The sequence below is a fragment of the Homo sapiens genome, chromosome 12 (genome assembly GCF_000001405.40).
Source record: "Homo sapiens chromosome 12, GRCh38.p14 Primary Assembly".
NCBI lineage: Eukaryota > Metazoa > Chordata > Mammalia > Primates > Hominidae > Homo > Homo sapiens.
In genome coordinates, this window is record NC_000012.12 from 100,530,444 (window position 1) to 100,550,083 (window position 19,640).

Consider the following 19,640-nt stretch of genomic DNA (forward strand, 5'->3'; position numbering starts at 1 on the left):
TATTCCAACAGTCTGTTAAAATAGGAAGGACTCCTCTCAATTTTGACAGAGACATGAAGACACTAGATGCTACATTCCAAGGTGAGCCCATCTGGCAGAAATTTCACAGTGGATATTCAAGAACCAGTTAAACATCTCACTTATTTTGAGGGAATGAAGAGATCAGGAGTTGGAAATTATAGAGAGGTCTTATAAAGATTTTGGAGCATGTGACTAGTGTGCTGTGTGAATCTTACATCCCTACTGCAAAGGAGAATGTTGGAAATGGGAGTGTCTGTCCCTCGGGCCACCACTGGAACGTGTAGTAACTTTGTGAGAATTGGAAAATGGTGTCCCCTCATGCCCCCAAAATGTATACTAAAGAGGTCCTGTTGCCCCAAGCCCAATGAAAGAGTCTTCAAGACGATCACTTGAGTAGGTTGACATGTATCCCCTGAAGCTGACAGACATGGGGACTTTGTGTCTCACTTTCACCCGAGAAGTTGAAAGGCAGGAAGCCGGGTGGCTGACTGCTCATGGATAAATGGGAGAGATTTCTCTGCTCCACAGAGATTGTTAGATCAGAGAAAGCCATTATGGGGTTATCTTAGGTCCATGTGAAGAGAACCACATAGAGTGACCTCAGTGTAAAAATTGTGGAGTGAATCGCCAGATTCCTAGATGTTGAAGGAGACACATACCATGGGCTAGAATAGATATGTATTTGCCCTCATCAAAAAAGTTCAGATGAGGCTGGGCGTGGTGGCTCATGCCTGTAATCCCAGCACTTTGGGAGGCTGAGGCGGGCAGATCACTTAAGGTCAGGAGTTTGAGACCAGCCTGGCCAACATGGTGAAACCCCATCTCTACTAAAAATACAAAAATTAGTCGGCCGCGGTGGGCGGCGCCTGTCATCCTAGCTGCTCCAGAGGGTGAGGCAGGAGAATCCATTGAACCTGGGAGGCAGAGACTGCATGAGCTGAGATTGTGCCACTGCACTCCAGCCTGGGCGACAGAACAAGACTCTGTCTCAAAAAAACAAAAAACAAAGTTCAGATGAAAGTATCCCGAAGATGAGAGGTCTCTAAACAACCCAACCCAATGGAGAAAGAGACAACTTTGAAAACTTGCTATGCACAAACCAGCTTACAGAAATACTAGGCGAGTAACTGCCTTCCTGTCATTTCTTCTCTTACCTCTCACAATCCTCTCCTGAATTCAACACTGCCTCCTTGACTCTGAAAGTGTCAGGAACTGTGGTTAGTCAGATGGAGGAGAAAGCAGAAAGTGGGGAAATGGAGCAGCAGAGTTGAAGTCGGTTACCTCCCTTCTTCACTCTAGGCATCTTACCTGTTAACAGGCTGCAGCTGTGCTATACCTTCTCGGGGGAGATGGTTGCTTTTAGCTCAAGGTTGGCATTTTTATTATTATGCCAGGCTGGCATATAAAGTACTGAATTGAAACCTTGAATGCGATTTTCTCCCTGAATGCCTGGTTAACAGCAACTCACTTTCCAAAACTTAGCTCAGTGCTCACTCCCTATCCTGACCTCTTCATCCCAAACTGAGGAATCTGTGTGTCTGCTCTGCCGCAGTGCAGCTTTTAGAGCCCAGGCAACATGTAATTTCACTTGTTTAGTTGTTTGTGCGTCTTTGTCCTCAGCCAGCCTTTAAACTCTTGGAGCCCAGGGGTGAATTGTTTGCCTTTGTACCCTCTGCACTTAGTGCTCACTGGCATAGAATTGTCCCCCAATAAAGATCTATGAAAGTAATTTGTCTTAGAAAACAAATTCACATTTTTCCTAAGAGAGGCTATAATTCAAATTTGTCTTTATTTCTGAGAGATAAATTAAAAACAACAGGCTTCTCAACAACACAATGTCACATAAAGTATTTGTCACTGGTGTGCTCAAGGATGGCCTGGGTGCTCTCCAGCAGTTGGTGAGAAAATGTCCTGGCATCTCTCAATCCAAACCTGTTTTTTTCCTGAGAAGCTGTGAGAGGACTTTTTACACTTTTCAGTGTTTCTCCCACAGGTTTCTTCAGGAGAAGCATTACCAAAAACGCTGTGTACAAGTGTAAAAACGGGGGCAACTGTGTGATGGATATGTACATGCGAAGAAAGTGTCAAGAGTGTCGACTAAGGAAATGCAAAGAGATGGGAATGTTGGCTGAATGTATGTATACAGGTATTCACTTCAAGCAATTACATTTCACTAAAAATCTCTTAAGGAGGCAGATGTCAGGTAACTCATCACGAGAGTGCTACTTCACATATTAAAGAAGGAACCTACTAAGCCATCTAAGTTCTTGAAAAGGGTAATGAACCACTGAAATTGTCCAAACTGTCAACTAAAGAGCATTTTAGTCACCCGAAAGAAATGGGTTTTTTTTGTTGTTTTTCTTTGTCGCAGTGAACTATACATGGAGCCCAGTGGCATTAACATACCATTCAAATAATGTGCTTTAATGAGCTACGAATGACATCTAAAAGTTTCCTCTAAATTTGATTTTAATATACTTATTATTTATTGCTTAATTAGCATACAAATTCACTATTGTGGAAAAAAATGAGAATGCTTTATAAGGTATAACTGCCTCTGAATTGTCTAAATAGAGTTCTAAACCAAGTCATTTTATTAAGGATCTGTCTTCTCTTAGTGCAGCTTTGAACCAATTTGTATAGGTTTACACAGGAAATTAACTACTCCCAGTTTTAATATAATTTTGTCTTTCTATCTGATAAAGAGACACTGTATTAACTGCTGGCTTTGTGAGGAACTGTAATCTTCATCAAAAATTGGAATGCATGCTAGTATATAACATAATTAATTTTTCATTCTGCAAATTCTACAGACCACTCAGATTCTGAGATATGTCCTGTTTCTCCTCAAAACACAAATAGACAAATGTCACCAAGGGGATGACAGCATTCAGGCAGGGAATGCCAAATGAAATAAAAGCCTTCAGAAGGTGACTCCAGTTCTATTGTTACCAAACTGTACGGGCAACTGGGATGGACCCAGGGAAATAATGCATGCAGGTTGGGGGAAAATAGGTCTGTGTAAATAATCCAGCTCTGGGTGGATGAAAATTTTATAGTAGCTGATCACAATCTCATCTTAGCATACATGAAATGAGAACCTGCAATAGGGGCTGCTGCTGGAATCCAATCTTGCAATGGAAACACTTACTCTGACACTGCACAGCTCATATAGCTCATCACTTAAATATGAACTTGTTCCAGCTGGAGCGCTGAGGACATTTTGCATGAAGCCACATATAGCAGTCTATAATATTTATGAACACAAACTCATCCAGTAACAGATGCGGATATTTCATGGTTCTATAAAATAAATTCCCTGTACAAAGAAATTCCTGGAACTTTGTTTTATTGGCATTGAGAAAAGAGTAAGGACGTTAAATGGGATGAAGGGAAGATTGTTTTACATTATTTTTAATAGCTCTCTTTTTTTTTTTTTTGTTGAGACGGAGTCTCGCTCTGTCGCCCAGGCCGGACTGCGGACTGCAGTGGCGCAATCTCGGCTCACTGCAAGCTCCGCTTCCCGGGTTCACGCCATTCTCCTGCCTCAGCCTCCCGAGTAGCTGGGACTACAGGCGCCCGCCACTGCGCCCGGCTAATTTTTTGTATTTTTAGTAGAGACGGGGTTTCACCTTGTTAGCCAGGATGGTCTCGATCTCCTGACCTCATCCACCCGCCTCGGCCTCCCAAAGTGCTGGGATTACAGGCGTGAGCCACCGCGCCCGGCCTTAATAGCTCTCTTTAAGTGTAAATCAATGAGGTTGATTGTATGATCATTCAAAGACATTTTAAAAGTCACCTTGTATTATTTTTATTTTTAACTGTATTCTCAGGAATTGGCACTGTTCTTAAAATTAACAGGATTTTAAAAATTTCCCTAAAGGATGTTAACATTTGTTTTTCTCAATAAGTTTATATGTATTTAATGTGAAATTCAATATCCTTCTTCTGGTACAGTATGTAAACATGGATGAAAATAATATTAATGGCATGTTTTAAAACACCAATTTTCACAGTCCCCTAGAGCAGGAACAGGGAGAGTGTCATTCACCTTTTCATTGACTGAATCCCTTGCATTTGTACAATGCTTTCATATCACAAGTTCTTTATATAAAGCTCATTTAAAAATGATTATTGCTTTTATTTTGTGTAGATTATTGCTTTTAATCTACACAAAACTCTATGAGGTAGATATTATTCCCATTTTACAAATGAGGAAACTGAGACTCACAGAGGTTAAACTACTTGTTCAAGGTTAAGTCTCAAACCTTGGCCTTCCCTTTCTAAAATGCATAAAAGGCTAGCGTTAGTTCTGTGCCATTGCATAGGGGATCTTCTGGGCCAGGTACATATCAGTGGTTTTATGACCACACACCCAACAGTACTTTCTGTGATTGGTGAAGTCTCTATGCTTATTTGTTTTAGGCTTGTTAACTGAAATTCAGTGTAAATCTAAGCGACTGAGAAAAAATGTGAAGCAGCATGCAGATCAGACCGTGAATGAAGACAGTGAAGGTCGTGACTTGCGACAAGTGACCTCGACAACAAAGTCATGCAGGGTAATAATATGCAATGGTGTCTGCCAAGACTGGCAGGAACTGAGTTTCTAGGTACATAGTGAGCTGGCCAGGAGGCTTTCAAATTAAAGCCACAGGCACAGCTGAATTTCTAGTCCAATTGTTCATTAAAATGGATTCCTAATACATGCTTTGATGTAAACATTCAAATAGTAGCAATGCATAAACTAAAAAGTGAAAGTTTTCCTTCTCTCTGACTCCATTCCAGTCCTACTACCTAGTGTTTGCCAGCAGAAATGATTTGGTGTATAAAATGGATTTTTTCCAACTGAGTATTGATGACCATTTTTTCCCTCTTTTTGAGAAGACAGTCTCAAACTGGGAAGAACATGGTCTCAATAGAGGCTGTGGATTAATCCTTATAAATGAGTAAAACAGGGTGAATACACGTATGTGGATGAATAGAGAAAAGTCCTACCCACTGGGGTTACAAATTTCTCAAGAAATCCATTGAGCAACTTAGGACAAAATAGGGGAACAGCATCCAAGGTGTTTAGACACACACATTGTGATAATGCACAGGACATTTGATGGAATTTTATTTTGCCATTAGCTGAAAAACCAGTAAGCTATGATTGTCCAAACCACACCCTTCTCAATATTTATTACATTATTGACAAAGAAAACTTTATCCACATTTAGTTTTACAAATACGTATTTTTGTATTTATTTAAGAAAAAGTATTTTATATGAAAGCATTATTTTGCCATAGTGCTTCATCAGTAACACTTTGGTATAAGAAAACAAAGAGTTGACATAATTATTCACACTCTTCAAAAGATGCTGTAGAGGGAGAAAGAGATGTTTGGGGTCTGAATTGTCCAGATTGTTGACTCTCTATTTTAGGGGTTGACAAACTTTTTTTCTTTAAAGGGCTTTGGCCACATGGTATCTACAACAGCTACTCAACTCTGCCATTTTAGTGCAAAAGTAGCAGAGACAATACATAAACAAATGAGTGTGACTGTGTTCCAATAAAACTTTATAAAATCCAATGGATTTGGTCCATGGGCCACAGTTTGTTGATCCCTCCTCCACATGAATACTCTCAGATGACTTCACCAGGTGGAATTCATGTAGAATAGTATATGAATATAGTATTCATAGTAGTCATACTATATGAAAACCTTTCATTAGTTATAATTAAAGCTTGAACTTTCAGTGACCTTCAATATGAATGGGCTCAATAGTCTTCATATCCAGACTACCATTTATTCCTAAGAAATACACAAGTGGAATATTTTGTTATTCATATTTTATAGATAGGAAAATTCAGTGAAATGTGATATGGCCTGCCTGAGGACCCAGAGAAAGAAATTATACACTCTCTTAGAACTCATAGTTCCTGCTGTATTTATGCCTTTTTTTTTTTATGATTTCTGCTATTAGGTCCCTCCAGATGAATGCACATATAGAAAGAAGGCTTTATACACATCTTCCCTAACACCTTTTATTTTCTTGCCAGTGTAGGAGAAAACTGAACTCACCCCAGATCAACAGACTCTTCTACATTTTATTATGGATTCATATAACAAACAGAGGATGCCTCAGGAAATAACAAATAAAATTGTATGTATAATATCTGAAAATATGTGGGTTTAAAGTTAATATTTTCTGGAGTTTTTATTGCCTTGGAGGTATAATTTATATGTGAATATGTTACTTTGAAATGATTAGAGCTGAGAATTCAAGTTAGACTTTTAAACTCTCAGCAACATTAAACAATTCAAGAGTATGAAGTCTCCCACCTATCTTGATAATGGTAATTGCCCTCCAAAGATCTGAGAAATAGTAAGATGGGTTTTCAAATTTTATCATCTAAACCTAGTTTTTCTTTAGTCTAATGGTTTTATATTATCATTTTCTTATCTACTTTTTAATCATTGGTTTTTTTCTTAAAATTTAGTTAAAAGAAGAATTCAGTGCAGAAGAAAATTTTCTCATTTTGACGGAAATGGCAACCAATCATGTACAGGTTCTTGTAGAATTCACAAAAAAGCTACCAGGTATTTTTTAAATAATCAAAGTTAATATTTATTGAGAGTTTAAATATGTGCCCACAGATTAGATTACCTATTTTACATACGGTGTTTTAATTTTCAAAACATTCCTGTGAGATCAGCTCTATTTTCACTATTACTTTGCCAAGTATTTTCACATGTACTTATTTCACTGCTATTCTCTACAATAGTCTTGTGACATTGAGAAAGGCAGGTCTGTTCTTTGTAAAATGAAAATCATTTAATATCTGATTTAAAGTAACTGTCGAACTACTATAGACATAAGATATTAGAACTAGAAAGGATATTTAAAATAATGTATAATAATTCTTTCAAATCAATAGATTAAAAATTGAAACTTTGCAAAGTTGTCATTCACCCATTTATTCCTTCAATAAGCAATTGTTGATACCTACTCTATACTAAGTGCCTGGCTATTACCTTCAGGGAGAGTGATCAAAGGTGATAATAATAATGATAAATACACATACATACACATACACACGAAGTGCTGTTTGAACACAGAGGAACTGGTTGCTAATTGTGTCTAGGAAAGATGGAGAGACTTCAGGGAGGATCATATTTGAGTTGAGTCTAAAAGAAAAAGAAGTTTTCCAGTTGGCATGGAGAAGCAGCAGCATTCCAAGTTGAGAGATCTGCTTGTTTTTTTGTTTTTGTTTTGTTTTGTTTGAGACGGAGTCTCGCTCTGTTGCCCAGGCTGGAGTGCAATGGCATGATCTTGGCTCACTGCAACCTCTGCTTCCCGAGTTCAAGCAATTCTCCTGCCTCAGTCTCCTGAGTAGCTGGGACTACAGGCACACACCACCATGCCCAGCTAATTTTTGTATTTTTAGTAGAGATGGGGTTTCACCATATTGGACAGGCTGAATTCAAACTCCTGACCTCAAGTGAGCTGCCCGACTTGGCCAAAGTGCTGGGATTACAGGCGCAAGCCACCATGTCTGGCCGAGAAATCTGCTTGTTATAAGGCACTGAGGCATGAACAAGAATAGGATTATTTGAGATAGGAGAGAAAATTCAGTGTGGTTATAGTATAGTGTCTGTGGTGGGCTCCTAGGTTAGACAATAAGGTAAGTTGGTACCAGACTGATGAAGGCCTAACTAAGGAATTTAATCTGTGTACCCTGGACAGTAAAGAGATTTCGGTGGTTTTTGTAGCAGAGGGAAATGAAGTTTTTGTTATACAGAAATGACTTAATCAGGTTCATGTAAGATGAATTTGAATGGAAAGGGTCTGGGGGCAGGGAAGATCAAGTAGTATGCTACTGCACAAGTCCAGGCAACAGGGCTTGAAATAAAGCAATAGCAGTGGGGAAGAGAAGAAGAAACAAAAAGAAGAGAGATTCAAAAATCGATAGGGCTTGAGGAACAGTTGTATGTGTAAGGTGAGGGAGAGGGACTTACTTATCCACACTCATTCTGATGGTGCCAGTATAGAAACTAGAATGTGGGAGTCTTCTTATATCCCAGCCTCAAATTCTTTTTGCCACATTATTAATGCTATCTAAGCTAATGGGTTTTAGTTGTTTCAGTGTTTATTAAAATATTGGTGTATTGAAATCCCGTAGTCTAGAAGAGTATAATAAATACCTTGTATAGCAGCATAATACTATAATATTAAATTATAGAAGATAACTTCTGACATAGGATTTTAGTTAAACATGTTAATTTGCCTTCTTTTTGCCAGCATTATGCTATTATTTTATTAAATGTGTCACAGATAGACATAAGCCTACATAAAACTCATAAAGTGTGAGGAGAAATTTCTCACTATCATTGAAACACTAATATGCTCTCATTTCTTTATTAACAATGAAAGAGGAACTTAATTTACTATATGCTAATTAAACTGAAGGCAAGCTCAATAAAAAACTGGATTATATAAGAGTAAAAACTGTGGAGGAAAGAACTGGAAAAAGGAGATATTTTTGGTTATTTATGGGAAGAGATTTTTTAAGTTCAAATGGTCAGTTGGTTTTGAATCAAGAAATAATTGAAGACAAATAAAAACCTTATTCATAAGAAGGTAGCTTATCTGAAAGCAATAGCAATATCTTGGCATCTCTTAATTCCCAGTGCCTAGCCTCGTTCCTGAGGGAGCAAGTACAATTAGTGTGTGTTCAATGAGTAAAGCAGAAGGAAAAAATTTAAAATATGGAAAGAAATAAAAGGCAAAAACCCTTGAGAAGGAAAAAAATTGACAATAATGACAGAGATAGCATTATTACAAGTAGTAACAATAGGGATATAATACCAGTACTGAAGGGATATTTTGTGAAAAACTGAATTGAATCATTCCATTCAGTATTCATTGAGCACAACCTGTGCCAGGCACTGTCCAAGGTGCTGGAGTCCCTGAGGGCAATAAGACAGGGCCCCTTTCCTCAAAGAAGCTCTTAGATTCTCTCGGATGGTGGCTCAATTTTTAGCGTTGCTCTCTTCTCTATACTCCCTTTGCTATTTAGTTCTTCCCAAGCCATTTAGGCCCTGATGGTGTTATCTCTATTCATGTGAGTGTATGTGCCAGCATGCACATGAGCTTGTGTTTTGTTTCCCATTCATTCATTCAATCTGTCAATTATCCAACAAATAATTCTTAGGTACCTATTATGTGCCAGGAACTGGGGATACAAAAGTAAAGAAAAACAAGGCCTCTGCCCCCAAGAAATGTACACTCCAGTAGAGGTGGCAGACAATTAACAAATAAGCAAATAAATCTATAATATCATGTCGGGTGGTGATAAGTTCTATAAACTAAAATAAAGCAGGTAGAGACTAGTAGTGGTGGGGAGTGTATTTTAGATTGGGGAATGCTGGAGCAGAGGCTTGATTGCAGGAAGGAGCAGGGCATGGGGCATGGGGTTATCTGGGAAGAACATTAATCTCTGAGGCAAAAAGAGGCTTGTGTGTTCACAGCAGGGCCAGGTGGTCAGTGTGGCTGGAACACAAAGAGTAGAGGGAATGAGGAGTAGAAAATGAGTTCAGAGAAGCTGTTGGGACTGTACTATTTAAGCCTGGATAACAACTTTGAATTTTCCAGGGAGTGTTATATTCCATCAGGTTGGCAATTCTTACCATATTTTTCTGATTTTCCCCCACCCTGTGTGTCGCAGTGCTGAGTTCAGAGCAGATACATCAACATGACTTTGGTTGGCTGTTTTTGGGAAATACTACCCGTTCTTTAGCTTGACTAAAGACTCATGAGTTAGCCAAATATTCTGGGTGCATATAAAGTTTTCTTCTGGCTTGTAGATGCTTCCAATCTGCAGAGTTGACCCTGTCACATCAGGTGTGACTAACATAATGGCTCAAAGAAAATCTACCTGTGTCTAGTTTCTGAGGGTTTCTTCATCTGAATCAGTGTATCTATGCCATAATATATGTATCTACTTGGACTTGACATCTCCCTTTGCCCAGCTTGTTTAATAAATTCTGCTCAATGAAGATAAAAGCCTCTATTTTATTGGCGAGTACAAATGGACTCAACTAGACTACCCAATTTTAAACAACTACAGAATCACTTGATGTAAATGTTTTATCAATGGCAATGATGGTGATCATGAAATATTGTTACTCCTTGATACCAATTTGATTATCATCATTACCTAGGATTTCAGACTTTGGACCATGAAGACCAGATTGCTTTGCTGAAAGGGTCTGCGGTTGAAGCTATGTTCCTTCGTTCAGCTGAGATTTTCAATAAGAAACTTCCGTCTGGGCATTCTGACCTATTGGAAGAAAGAATTCGAAATAGTGGTAAGTGATTTGGCTAATGGTAAAAGAGTTTGTTTCTAGGAGTAAAATTGGTGTGCTTCATGAGGGTGGGGCTCTTGCCAATCTTATGCAATGTTATATGCCTGTTGTGCCTAGCATGAAGAATGGCTCTAAAAAGATATGTGTTAAATTGATAAGACTTCTAGAGGCTTGGTTCAAATATCTCTGTTGTAATAACAAAGTAGCAAAACTACCCCTTTACTGCACTAAGATGAAGAGCCAAAGGAAGACTTTTTTAAAGATTGGAAAATTCATCTGATTTTGAACAACTAGCACAAAGGAGCTAGGATTCTTCAGCCAAGAAAAAGATTATTTAAAATCTTCTGGTATGTAAGACTAAGTATCCAGCTATTATATATCTGTATCAAAATAAAATAAGAAGACATTTTAATAGCAACATTTATATGTCATTTACTAGGTCTCAGACACTTTTCTTTCTTTTTTCTTCCTTTCTTTTTTTTTTTTAGACACAGTCTTGCTCTTTGCCCAGGCTGGAGTGTAGTGGTGTGATCTCGGCTCACTGCAGCCTCTGTTTCCCAGGTTCCAGCAATTCTTGTGCCTCAGCCTCCCGAGTAGCCAGGATTATAGGCATGTACTACCACACCCAGCTAATTTTGGTATTTTTAGTAGAGACAGAGTTTCTCCATGTTTCCCGAGCTGGTCTCAAACTCTTGGTCTCAAGCGATCAGCCTGACTTGGCCTTCCAAAGTGCTGAGATTACAGGTGTGAGCCACCGTGCCTGACTAAAGTTAACTTTTTTTTTCTTTTCTTTTTTTTTTTTTGAGACAGAATCTTGCTCTGTTGCTTAGGCTAGAGTGCAGTGGCATGCTCTTGGCTCACCAGTTTCCCCTGGGTTCAAGTGATTTTTTTGTGCTTCAGCTTCCCAAGTAGCTGGGACTACAGGCGCATGCCATCACACCCAGCTAATTTTTGTATTTTTAGTAGAGACAGGGTTTCACCATGTTGGCCAGGCTGGTCTTGGACTCCTGGCCTCGAGTGATCCACCTACCTCGGCCTCCCAAAGTGCTAGGATTAAAGGCATGAGCCACCACACCCAGCCGGTTTCAGACACTTTTCTAAATATATGATTTCATCTAATCTTCTCAAATATTCTATGAATAAATACTATTATCATTCCCATTTTTCAAATGGAAAAGCTGAGACAGAGAAAGGTTAAATAACTTTCCCAATGACAGAGAGGAAGTCTGACTTCAGAAGCTTTGTGTCAGCCCAATGCAGTGGCTCACGCCTATAATCCCAGAACTTTGGGAGGCAGAGGGGGGTGGATCACTTGAAATCAGGAGTTCAAGACCAGCCTGGCCAACATAGTGAAACTCCGTCTCTACTAAAAATACAAAAAATTAGCTGGGCATGGTAGTACGTGCCTGTAATCCCAGTTACTCAGGAAGCTGAGGCAGGAGAATTGCTTGAACTTGGGAGATGGAGGTTGCAGTGAGTCAAGATCGTGCCACCACACTCCAGCCTGGGCAACAGAGTGAGACTCAGTCTGAAAAAAAAAGAAGCTTTGTGTCTTAACCACTATGCTATAGTACCTCTCAAGAGACGAGATAATAGCACAAGTTACTCAGTGTTTAACTTATTGTGGAATAACACTGTGACAGGGAAGCTCAAGAGACATTGAGATGAATTACCAGGAATTCTGTGCAATTTATCTTAGGAGATCCTTAAGATAGGATGAGTTCTTATTTTCCCGAGAGATTTCATATATGGGTTGGGAGTGGGGAATGAATGAGATGACTTCTCAGGATGTTTTCTTTCTAAAGTCTTATCATTAACAAAAGCAAATTTAAAGACTTTTAAAACCGATATTTTAAGATAGAGATTAGAGGGAAAGTTTTCAGGTAGTTCTGCATCTGTGATATAAGTGAAATAATTTTTTAAATGGAAAATTATTTTTAAAGGCAGTTTCTCCATAGTCATTATGTTTTTTTCCTAGTTAAAAACAAAAAGCATAATTAGCATCATTGGTAGATTTAAAAACCACACACTTTAAAAAGATGCATTATTCTTAATATATTAATTTACTAGTCTAACAAATATTTAAGGGCAAGGTACTATGGTAGCAGTGAAGAGAGAAATCAAGCATGTTCTTTCCCCTAAGAAGCTTACAGTCTAATGGGAAGAGATTAACTGTCCATGATTATGATAAAATATGGAAGAGAAAAACAGAGAGATGATGACTCCTAGTTGAGAGAGCTCCGAAAAAGTTTTATTGGCATTTGAGCTGGGACTTGAATGAGATTTGATTTGGATATCCAGGGTGCAAGAGAGAAGGACCAGCAGGAGCAAAGAGAAAGAGGCAAGAAAGCTCAGGGAATGCACACAAAGAAGGGTGAGTAGCTGAGCTGACTGAATTGAGGGTTACATTAAAGGGAAATAGAAAGGAATAAAAGAATCAGATGATTGAGGGCCTTGGATGCTGGGCTAATGATTTTGTTATTTCCCAAGTAATAGGAGAGATGGAAGATTTTTGAGCAGAGGAGGGAAAATGTCAAAATTAAGCTTTACAAATTTTCTAGCAGTGTTAGGGTAAGCCAGAACAGAAGTCACCTCTTAGGAGGCAAGAAGTCTCAAAGATGTCACGCTTGCTGCCAGGAGAAATGGAGAGAAGAGAAAGGATCTGGGAGATATATCTTCGTGGCTTATCAACTTTTGAAAGACATTATGTTGTCAAGAAATATGGATTTTGGTTCTGGACAGATTGTGTGTGTGTGTGTGTGTGTGTGTGTGTCCAGGCTAAGGGGAAAATGTTGAATCAGGTAACCTCCAAGGCACCATTCAGTTCTACAAGTCTTACTGCTTTTCCTCTCTTAAATAATTCAATTTTCCTGATGGGTGGTTTAGCTAGTCACTAGGCCAGCTACTGAAGTATCCTGATTTTAAAGCCATAATCAATAATTGACAGTTCAACTTAGGAAAGAATTAAAGGACAGGCTGAATTTTCACATGTATGGGTATAATTGTTGTTTTAGACTATTGAACATACACTGGTGGTTCTCTCTTTATGCAGAAAACTACAATGGCTTCAACAGGTTCAGCAGCTTAGCTTTGTCATTTATTTGATTCTGGCTTCCATGGACTGTGGCGGTGCTCCCTTTAAGAAAATCCCAGTTGGCCGGGTGCGGTGGCTCACGCCTCTAATCCCAGCACTTTGGGAGGCCAAGGCGGGTGGATTACAAGGTCAGGAGATCGAGACCATCCTGGCTAACATGGTGAAACCCCGTCTCTACTAAAAATACAAACAATTAGTCAGGCGTGGTGGCGGGTGCCTGTAGTCCCAGCTACTCGGGAGGCTGAGGCAGGAGAATGGCGTGAACCCAGGAGGTGGAGCTTACAGTGAGCCGAGATCACGCCACTGTACTCCAGCCTGGGGGACAGAGTGAGACTCGGTCTCACAAAAAAAAAAAAAAAAAAAAATCCATCAGTCAAATCTAATTCTTACAAAACTAATAAAATAAAAAGGAATGATGACTCATGACAAAACTTATTCATTTTACTGACAGGTCTCTACTCTAGGGAATGTGTGTTTGGTTTATTCATCAAGAGACAGTGGTGATTAAGGATACTGACTGTGGAATCTGGATTGAATATGGGCCCCACTACTTATTAGCTACATGTCCCATTTTTTTAAAGCTGTTGAAATAGACTTCATAACCAATTTGATCTCTTTGAAATCATGTTTAACTTTAATATTTATTCTGCAGTCTTGCCTCAAGTTTGATAATAAAATCTTGATAAGACAGGGTTTTCTTCTTTTTGAGTCAGTATTTTATCCCAAGCACCTAGCACATGCCTGGCTTGGACTGGGTGCTCCACAAAATTCTGTGGAATAACGAAAAAAATGAATGAAGGTTTGTCCGGAGCTATAAAACTGGTCTGTTTATTTACTTTTCAGATGGTTGTTTCCCTGAATATCAGAGTTGTTAATGTCCAAAGCTAACAAGTAACCAACAAAAAGTTGGTTAAACATTCTTCTAGACATTGCCTGTAGTAGTTAATTTGGGGAACAGATATCTTTTTTGCATTTGAGTGTAAGAAAAGGAAAAAGACAGTTTGGATATGGAAGTTCTGTTGTGTTCTCTCTCCTCCTCCTCCTCAAAGATGAGTCATTTAAAGTTGATTCAGGTGCCAGACAATGAAAAAGAGGGGTGCAATGTCTGCCATATGAATTGAAATGTTTTGATGAGAGGGCATCTGCAGGAGAATTATCTGGTGGTTGTTCTATCTTTCTTTCTCTGTCTCTTTTTCTCTCCTGGATGCTCAGCTTCCTTTAAAAAAAAATCTTTGCCTGGCTCCATCAGATCTCCTGGGTCCTGAGCCAAGTCAGATGCTGCCATTTCCATGATGACCACTGGGTTAGTACCAGATTCCTTCCCCAGCCTGGCTGAGGTGGGGAAAATCCCTTCCACTGTGGTTCAGCTAAAAGGGGAAAAATAGTCTTCCAAAAAAGTTTACAAGGCTACTAAGAGGAGAATTATGTTTATAGAAAGGCATATATAAGGCTGAGCATGCTGACTCACACCTACAATCCCAGCACTTTGGGAGGCCAAGGCAGGAAGATTGCTTGAGCCCAGGAATTTGAGACCAGCCTGAGCCACAGAGCGAGACTCCATCTTTACAAAAAAGTTAAAAAAATTAGCTGGGCATGGTGGCATGAGTCTGTAATCTCAGCTAGTTGAGAGGCTGAGGTGGGAGGGTCTCTAGAGCCCAGGAGGTGGAGGTTGCAGTGAGCTGAGATTGTGCCACTGTACTCCAGCCTGGGTGACAGAGTGAGACCTTGTCTCAAAAAAAAAAAAAAAAAAAAAAAAAAAACCAAACGGGGGGCATATATGCGTAATGTCTGGATCTATTAATTACGGCACCAGAAAGATAATTATTCAGCACCTACTGTGTGTCAGGCTGTATTATCAGTGTTTGTGTGAGCTTTGGGTCCTACAAGAAGCAGATATCAACATGGGACTAAATATGTCAGAAGTTAATTGGGGGAAATGCCTCTGAAGAATAAAGGGGGAGGAAGCAGGTGGAGTCCAGGAGACTGTACACTACTATGCTGATCTGACACCTGTGAAAGTGGAGCAGGAAGGCATGATTGGGCATGAAGAGCATCAGATCACAGCACAGTCCTGAGAAAGTCTCAGCTAGGCCATTGGAGAGGGACCTAGTCCGAGCTGCCCACTGAATGGACAAGCACTAACACACCCACTATGCTCATTCACCAGTTGAGACAAGACTGGTGAAAGTGTGTCCTCAGCACTCACAGGGCGGCAGCTGGAGGCTATCAGCCAGCCAGACTCCCTACTGTGGGCTGTCTTTAAGGGTGATCTGAGTGGGTCATCTCCATGGCTAACATTTTGCTTCACGAAAAATATTGTTTGCTCTTTGTAGCACTTTGAGGTAGATATTATCAATTCTATGCCAGACCTAGACCCTGTTAATCCCAATAACAAAATATCAGTCCCAAGTATCTGTTCCCTCTGATATTACTCTCTAACTTTCCAGCTTGCCACCTTCCAGTACCCTGACTCTAGGGATTCTTTGTTCCAAATCAACGTCCATTGCCGGGCGCGGTGGCTCATGCTTGTAATCCCAGCACTTTGGGAGGCTGAGGCAGGTGGATCACGAGGTCAGGAGTTTGAGACCAGCTTGGCCAACATAGTGAAACCTTGTCTCTATTAAAAATATAAAAAATTAGCCTGGCGTGGTGGCAGGCACCTGTAATCCTAGCTACTCAGGAGGCTGAGGCAGGAGAATTGCCTGAACCCAGGAGGTGGAGGCAGCAGTAAGCCAAGATCGTGCCACTGCACTCCAGCCTGGGTGACAGAGTGAGACTCTGTCTCAAAAAACAAACAAACAAACAAACAAACAAAATCAAAAATCCATTTGTTGACCCTCCATCCACTAACCCTCCAGCCATTGACTCTACTTCCTTTTGCCTGACCACACTTTCCTCAGTACTTGGCTTAGAGTTCGTGGTTCATCAATATGATCATTTCCTTAGATCATTCACCAGATATCCTCAACTCTTTGTCTTTCTTTCACCTAAGAAAACCCTCTGCCTGACTGAGTACGACTCTTAACCTACTCTGTGCTTGAGCCTGAGAACTGAAACAGTATGACTGGCTTACCCAAAGTTAGTGATCAAACACTTCAGGTGGACCTCAGTACTTTCCATGTATCCCTTTTCTCTAGCCAATTCACTCTTATACTTATGGAAAATTGTCTTGTACCTTCTCTTTCTTCAAATTTCCAACATCTCTTCCCACTCATTCTCAACTATAACTTTGTTGAGAAAAGGTGTCTTTCAAGAACATGCCATAGGAGTTGGAGCTCAAGGATATGTGGTCAAACCCCAGCTTCAAGGAAATGTAATCAAGCTTAGAGAAAGATGAACTCCCCGAGCTTAGTCAATATGTCAAGACAGAGATTGTCACAAGAAACAAAGCTGGAGCCAAGTTCCTAGAATTAGATGCACACAGAGCTCCCCAGGGTTTTCTGAGAGTTGACTTCATCCACATGATCCACTATGGCTCCCTACCATTTTGGTAACATTCCAGCAAGTGGGGAGGGCAAAGGGGAAAAAGAGTGGCACACCTTCCCTTTAAAGGAATAATCCTGAAGTGGTATGCACAACTTCACAGAGTTCCCCAGAGTTTTCTGAGTCTGGGTCAGAATTGAAACCTGTTGAGGCAAGTGGTGTGGTTCTAGCCGTGAAGACACAAAAGCTTCCAAAACCAAAGTCAGGCAGTTACACCTTGGGGCTCCCATGATTTCTGGCTGCCACATATTGCTGGAGCCTCTCTGTCACAAATCAGCTACCTCCAACAGAAGCAATTGTCTTATTCCTTTGTTTTATTTATTTATTTATTTATTTATTTATTTTGAGACAGAGTCTCACTCTGTCGCCCAGGCTGGAGTGCAGTGACCGTGATCTCGGCTCACTGCAACCTCCGCCTCCTGGGTTCAAGCGATTCTCCTGCCTCAGCCTCCCAAGTAGCTGGGACTACCGGGGCGTGCCCCCATGCTTGGCTAATTTTTTGTATTTTTAGTAGAGACGGGGTTTTACCATGTTAGCCAGGATGGTCTCGATCTCCTGACCTCATGATTCGCCCGCCTTGGCCTCCCAAAGTGCTGGGATTACAGGCTTGAGCCACCGCACCCGGCCCTGTTCCTCTTTTTATTATATTAAGCACTTTATAAACACTTGTTTTTTGCCTGAAGAATACTTATGAGCTGAGTGCGGTGGCTCACACCTGTAATCCCAGCCCTTTGGGAGGCCGAGGCGGGTGGATCATGAGGTCAGGAGATTGAGACCATCCTGGCTAACATGGTGAAACCCCGTCTCTACTAAAAATATAAAAAATTAGCCGGGCATGGTGGCACGCACCTGTAGTCCCAGCTAGTCAGGAGGCTGAGGCTGGAGAATTGCTTGAACCCGGAAGGCGGAGGTTTCAGTGAGCCAAGATTGCACCACTGCACTCCAGCCTGGGCAACAGAGCAAGACTCCATCTCAATTAAAAAAAAAAAAAAAAGAATACCTCTGATGATCAGTTGTAGGGTAGAGATGATTTGCATCCCCTAAACCTTCAGAACAGGCAAGGCTTTCTGACTCATGTCATCTCTCATCAGAATATCTCCTCATATTTCTCAGGGTGGTGGCTCATTAGCCTCCCTCCTCTCACTTGATGAGACACTTAGCTTCGAATCTTATCATTTTCATTTGACTCTGCCTGTAGGGCAACTATCCGGTAGCAATGGAAGATCATTTCCATTAGGACCTGTATTTGTTTATTTGTTTACTTTTTTTTAACAAGCTTTTATTGAGTACTTCTATGGGATAGGTACACTGGCGGTACAAAGATGAATAAGATAAAGTCATAATCCTCAAGGACTTCATCTTCTAGGGGAAATATATTTGAAAAGAATTAATCACAATAGATTTCATGCATAATTTAAGTTAGAGGTTTGGCTGCTGTAACAGAGACAAAAAATAAAGAGTGCTTAAACAAGATGGAAATGTATTTCTATCTTATACTAGTCTGGGCATGAGGAGAATGGGACTGATAGGGAATCTTCATAGTGTCCCTCTGTGTCATAGTTCTATCCATACAGATGGATGTCATGCTCATCCATCCACAGAGAGTTGACTTCATCTTCTTGGTCCAGTATGGCTCCCCACCATTTTGGTAAAAACACATTCCAGGCCGGGCACAGTGGCTCACACCTGTAATCCCAGCACTTCGGGAGGCCAACGTGGGCAGATCACGAGGTCACAAGATTGAGACCATCCTGGCTAACACAGTGAAACCCCATCCCTACTAAAAATACAAAAAATTAGCCGGGCATGGTGGCATGTGCCGGTAGTCCCAGCTACTCTGAAGGCTGAGGCAGGAGAATCCCTGGAACCTGGGAGGCAGAGGTTGTAATGAGCACAGATAGTGCCACTGCACTCCAGCCTGGGCAACAGAGTGAGACTCCATCTCAAAAACAAGCAAACAAACAAAAACACATTCCAGCAAGTAGGGAGGGCAAAGGGGAAAAAGAATGGCACACCTTCCCTGTAAGTGAATAATCCTGAAGTGTTACACATAACTTCTACTGGCATTCCATTGGCAAGAACTTAACTTCTTCATCACACCTTGAGACAAGAGACCTGTAAAGAGAACTACTAATGCAATAACTGGGTGAGAAATGATGAGGGTCTTGCTGGTTAGAATGCATATAATCAAAAAGAAAAAAATCTTCCATGTAATTTCATAAGTTTCAGAACTTGTGATACCTCAAGTTTCAGAAAAGCTAAAGAATGAAGTTTTCCAGAATATGATCTGTATAAATAAATATGCATGTTTCTAGTTTATAATAAGATACTTTCTCCAAATATCAACCATATATTGTGACAATAAAAACCATCCAAACTCACATGCTGCTGCATATTTTATCTATAATGTTTTCATTTATTAATATTTATGAATTTCCTTCTCCCAGTGGGTTTTCAGAACATTGCCTCTTCCACACAACACATAAAAACCTGATCTCGCAAGATGACCTTTCAGACTAACTTTTTATTCTTATGCTAATACAATCATTCTTATTTCTATTATACATTTAATTCCAGAGTAACATAATGCTCAAAGTTACTCTGTTTATGCCTATGCAACTCTTTAAAGAATATGATGTGAAATCTCTTTTCTTGTTCTTCAAATTCATACTCTTTTGTTTGCTGTTATTA

At 40.1% G+C, this 19,640-nt stretch overlaps 1 protein-coding gene across 12 annotated transcripts in view, besides 1 other annotated feature; it reads left to right on the forward strand.

Annotated features, from left to right (window-relative positions):
• Window positions 1–19,640, forward strand: part of NR1H4 (nuclear receptor subfamily 1 group H member 4) — a 90,549-nt gene that overhangs the window by 56,578 nt on the left and 14,331 nt on the right. For 4 of the 12 annotated variants that reach the window (NM_001206977.2, NM_001206979.2, XM_011539040.3 and 1 more), the window contains 5 exons: window positions 2,015–2,167; window positions 4,447–4,580; window positions 6,069–6,167; window positions 6,505–6,604; window positions 10,229–10,375. In NM_001206977.2, coding sequence (NP_001193906.1) covers window positions 2,015–2,167; window positions 4,447–4,580; window positions 6,069–6,167; window positions 6,505–6,604; window positions 10,229–10,375 — 633 coding nt within the window. Of the gene's footprint in view, window positions 1–2,014; window positions 2,168–4,446; window positions 4,581–6,063; window positions 6,168–6,504; window positions 6,605–10,228; window positions 10,376–19,640 lie in introns of those variants that run through there. The other 8 variants (XM_047429943.1, NM_005123.4, NM_001206992.2 and 5 more) reach the window with 4 other exon arrangements.
• Window positions 8,855–9,055: a silencer, noted in NCBI's record as "peak1913 fragment used in MPRA reporter construct". NCBI's record gives its function as "represses an SCP1 promoter by STARR-seq MPRAs in K562 erythroleukemia cells {active_cell/tissue: K562}" and the evidence as "EXISTENCE:reporter gene assay evidence [ECO:0000049][PMID:32103011]".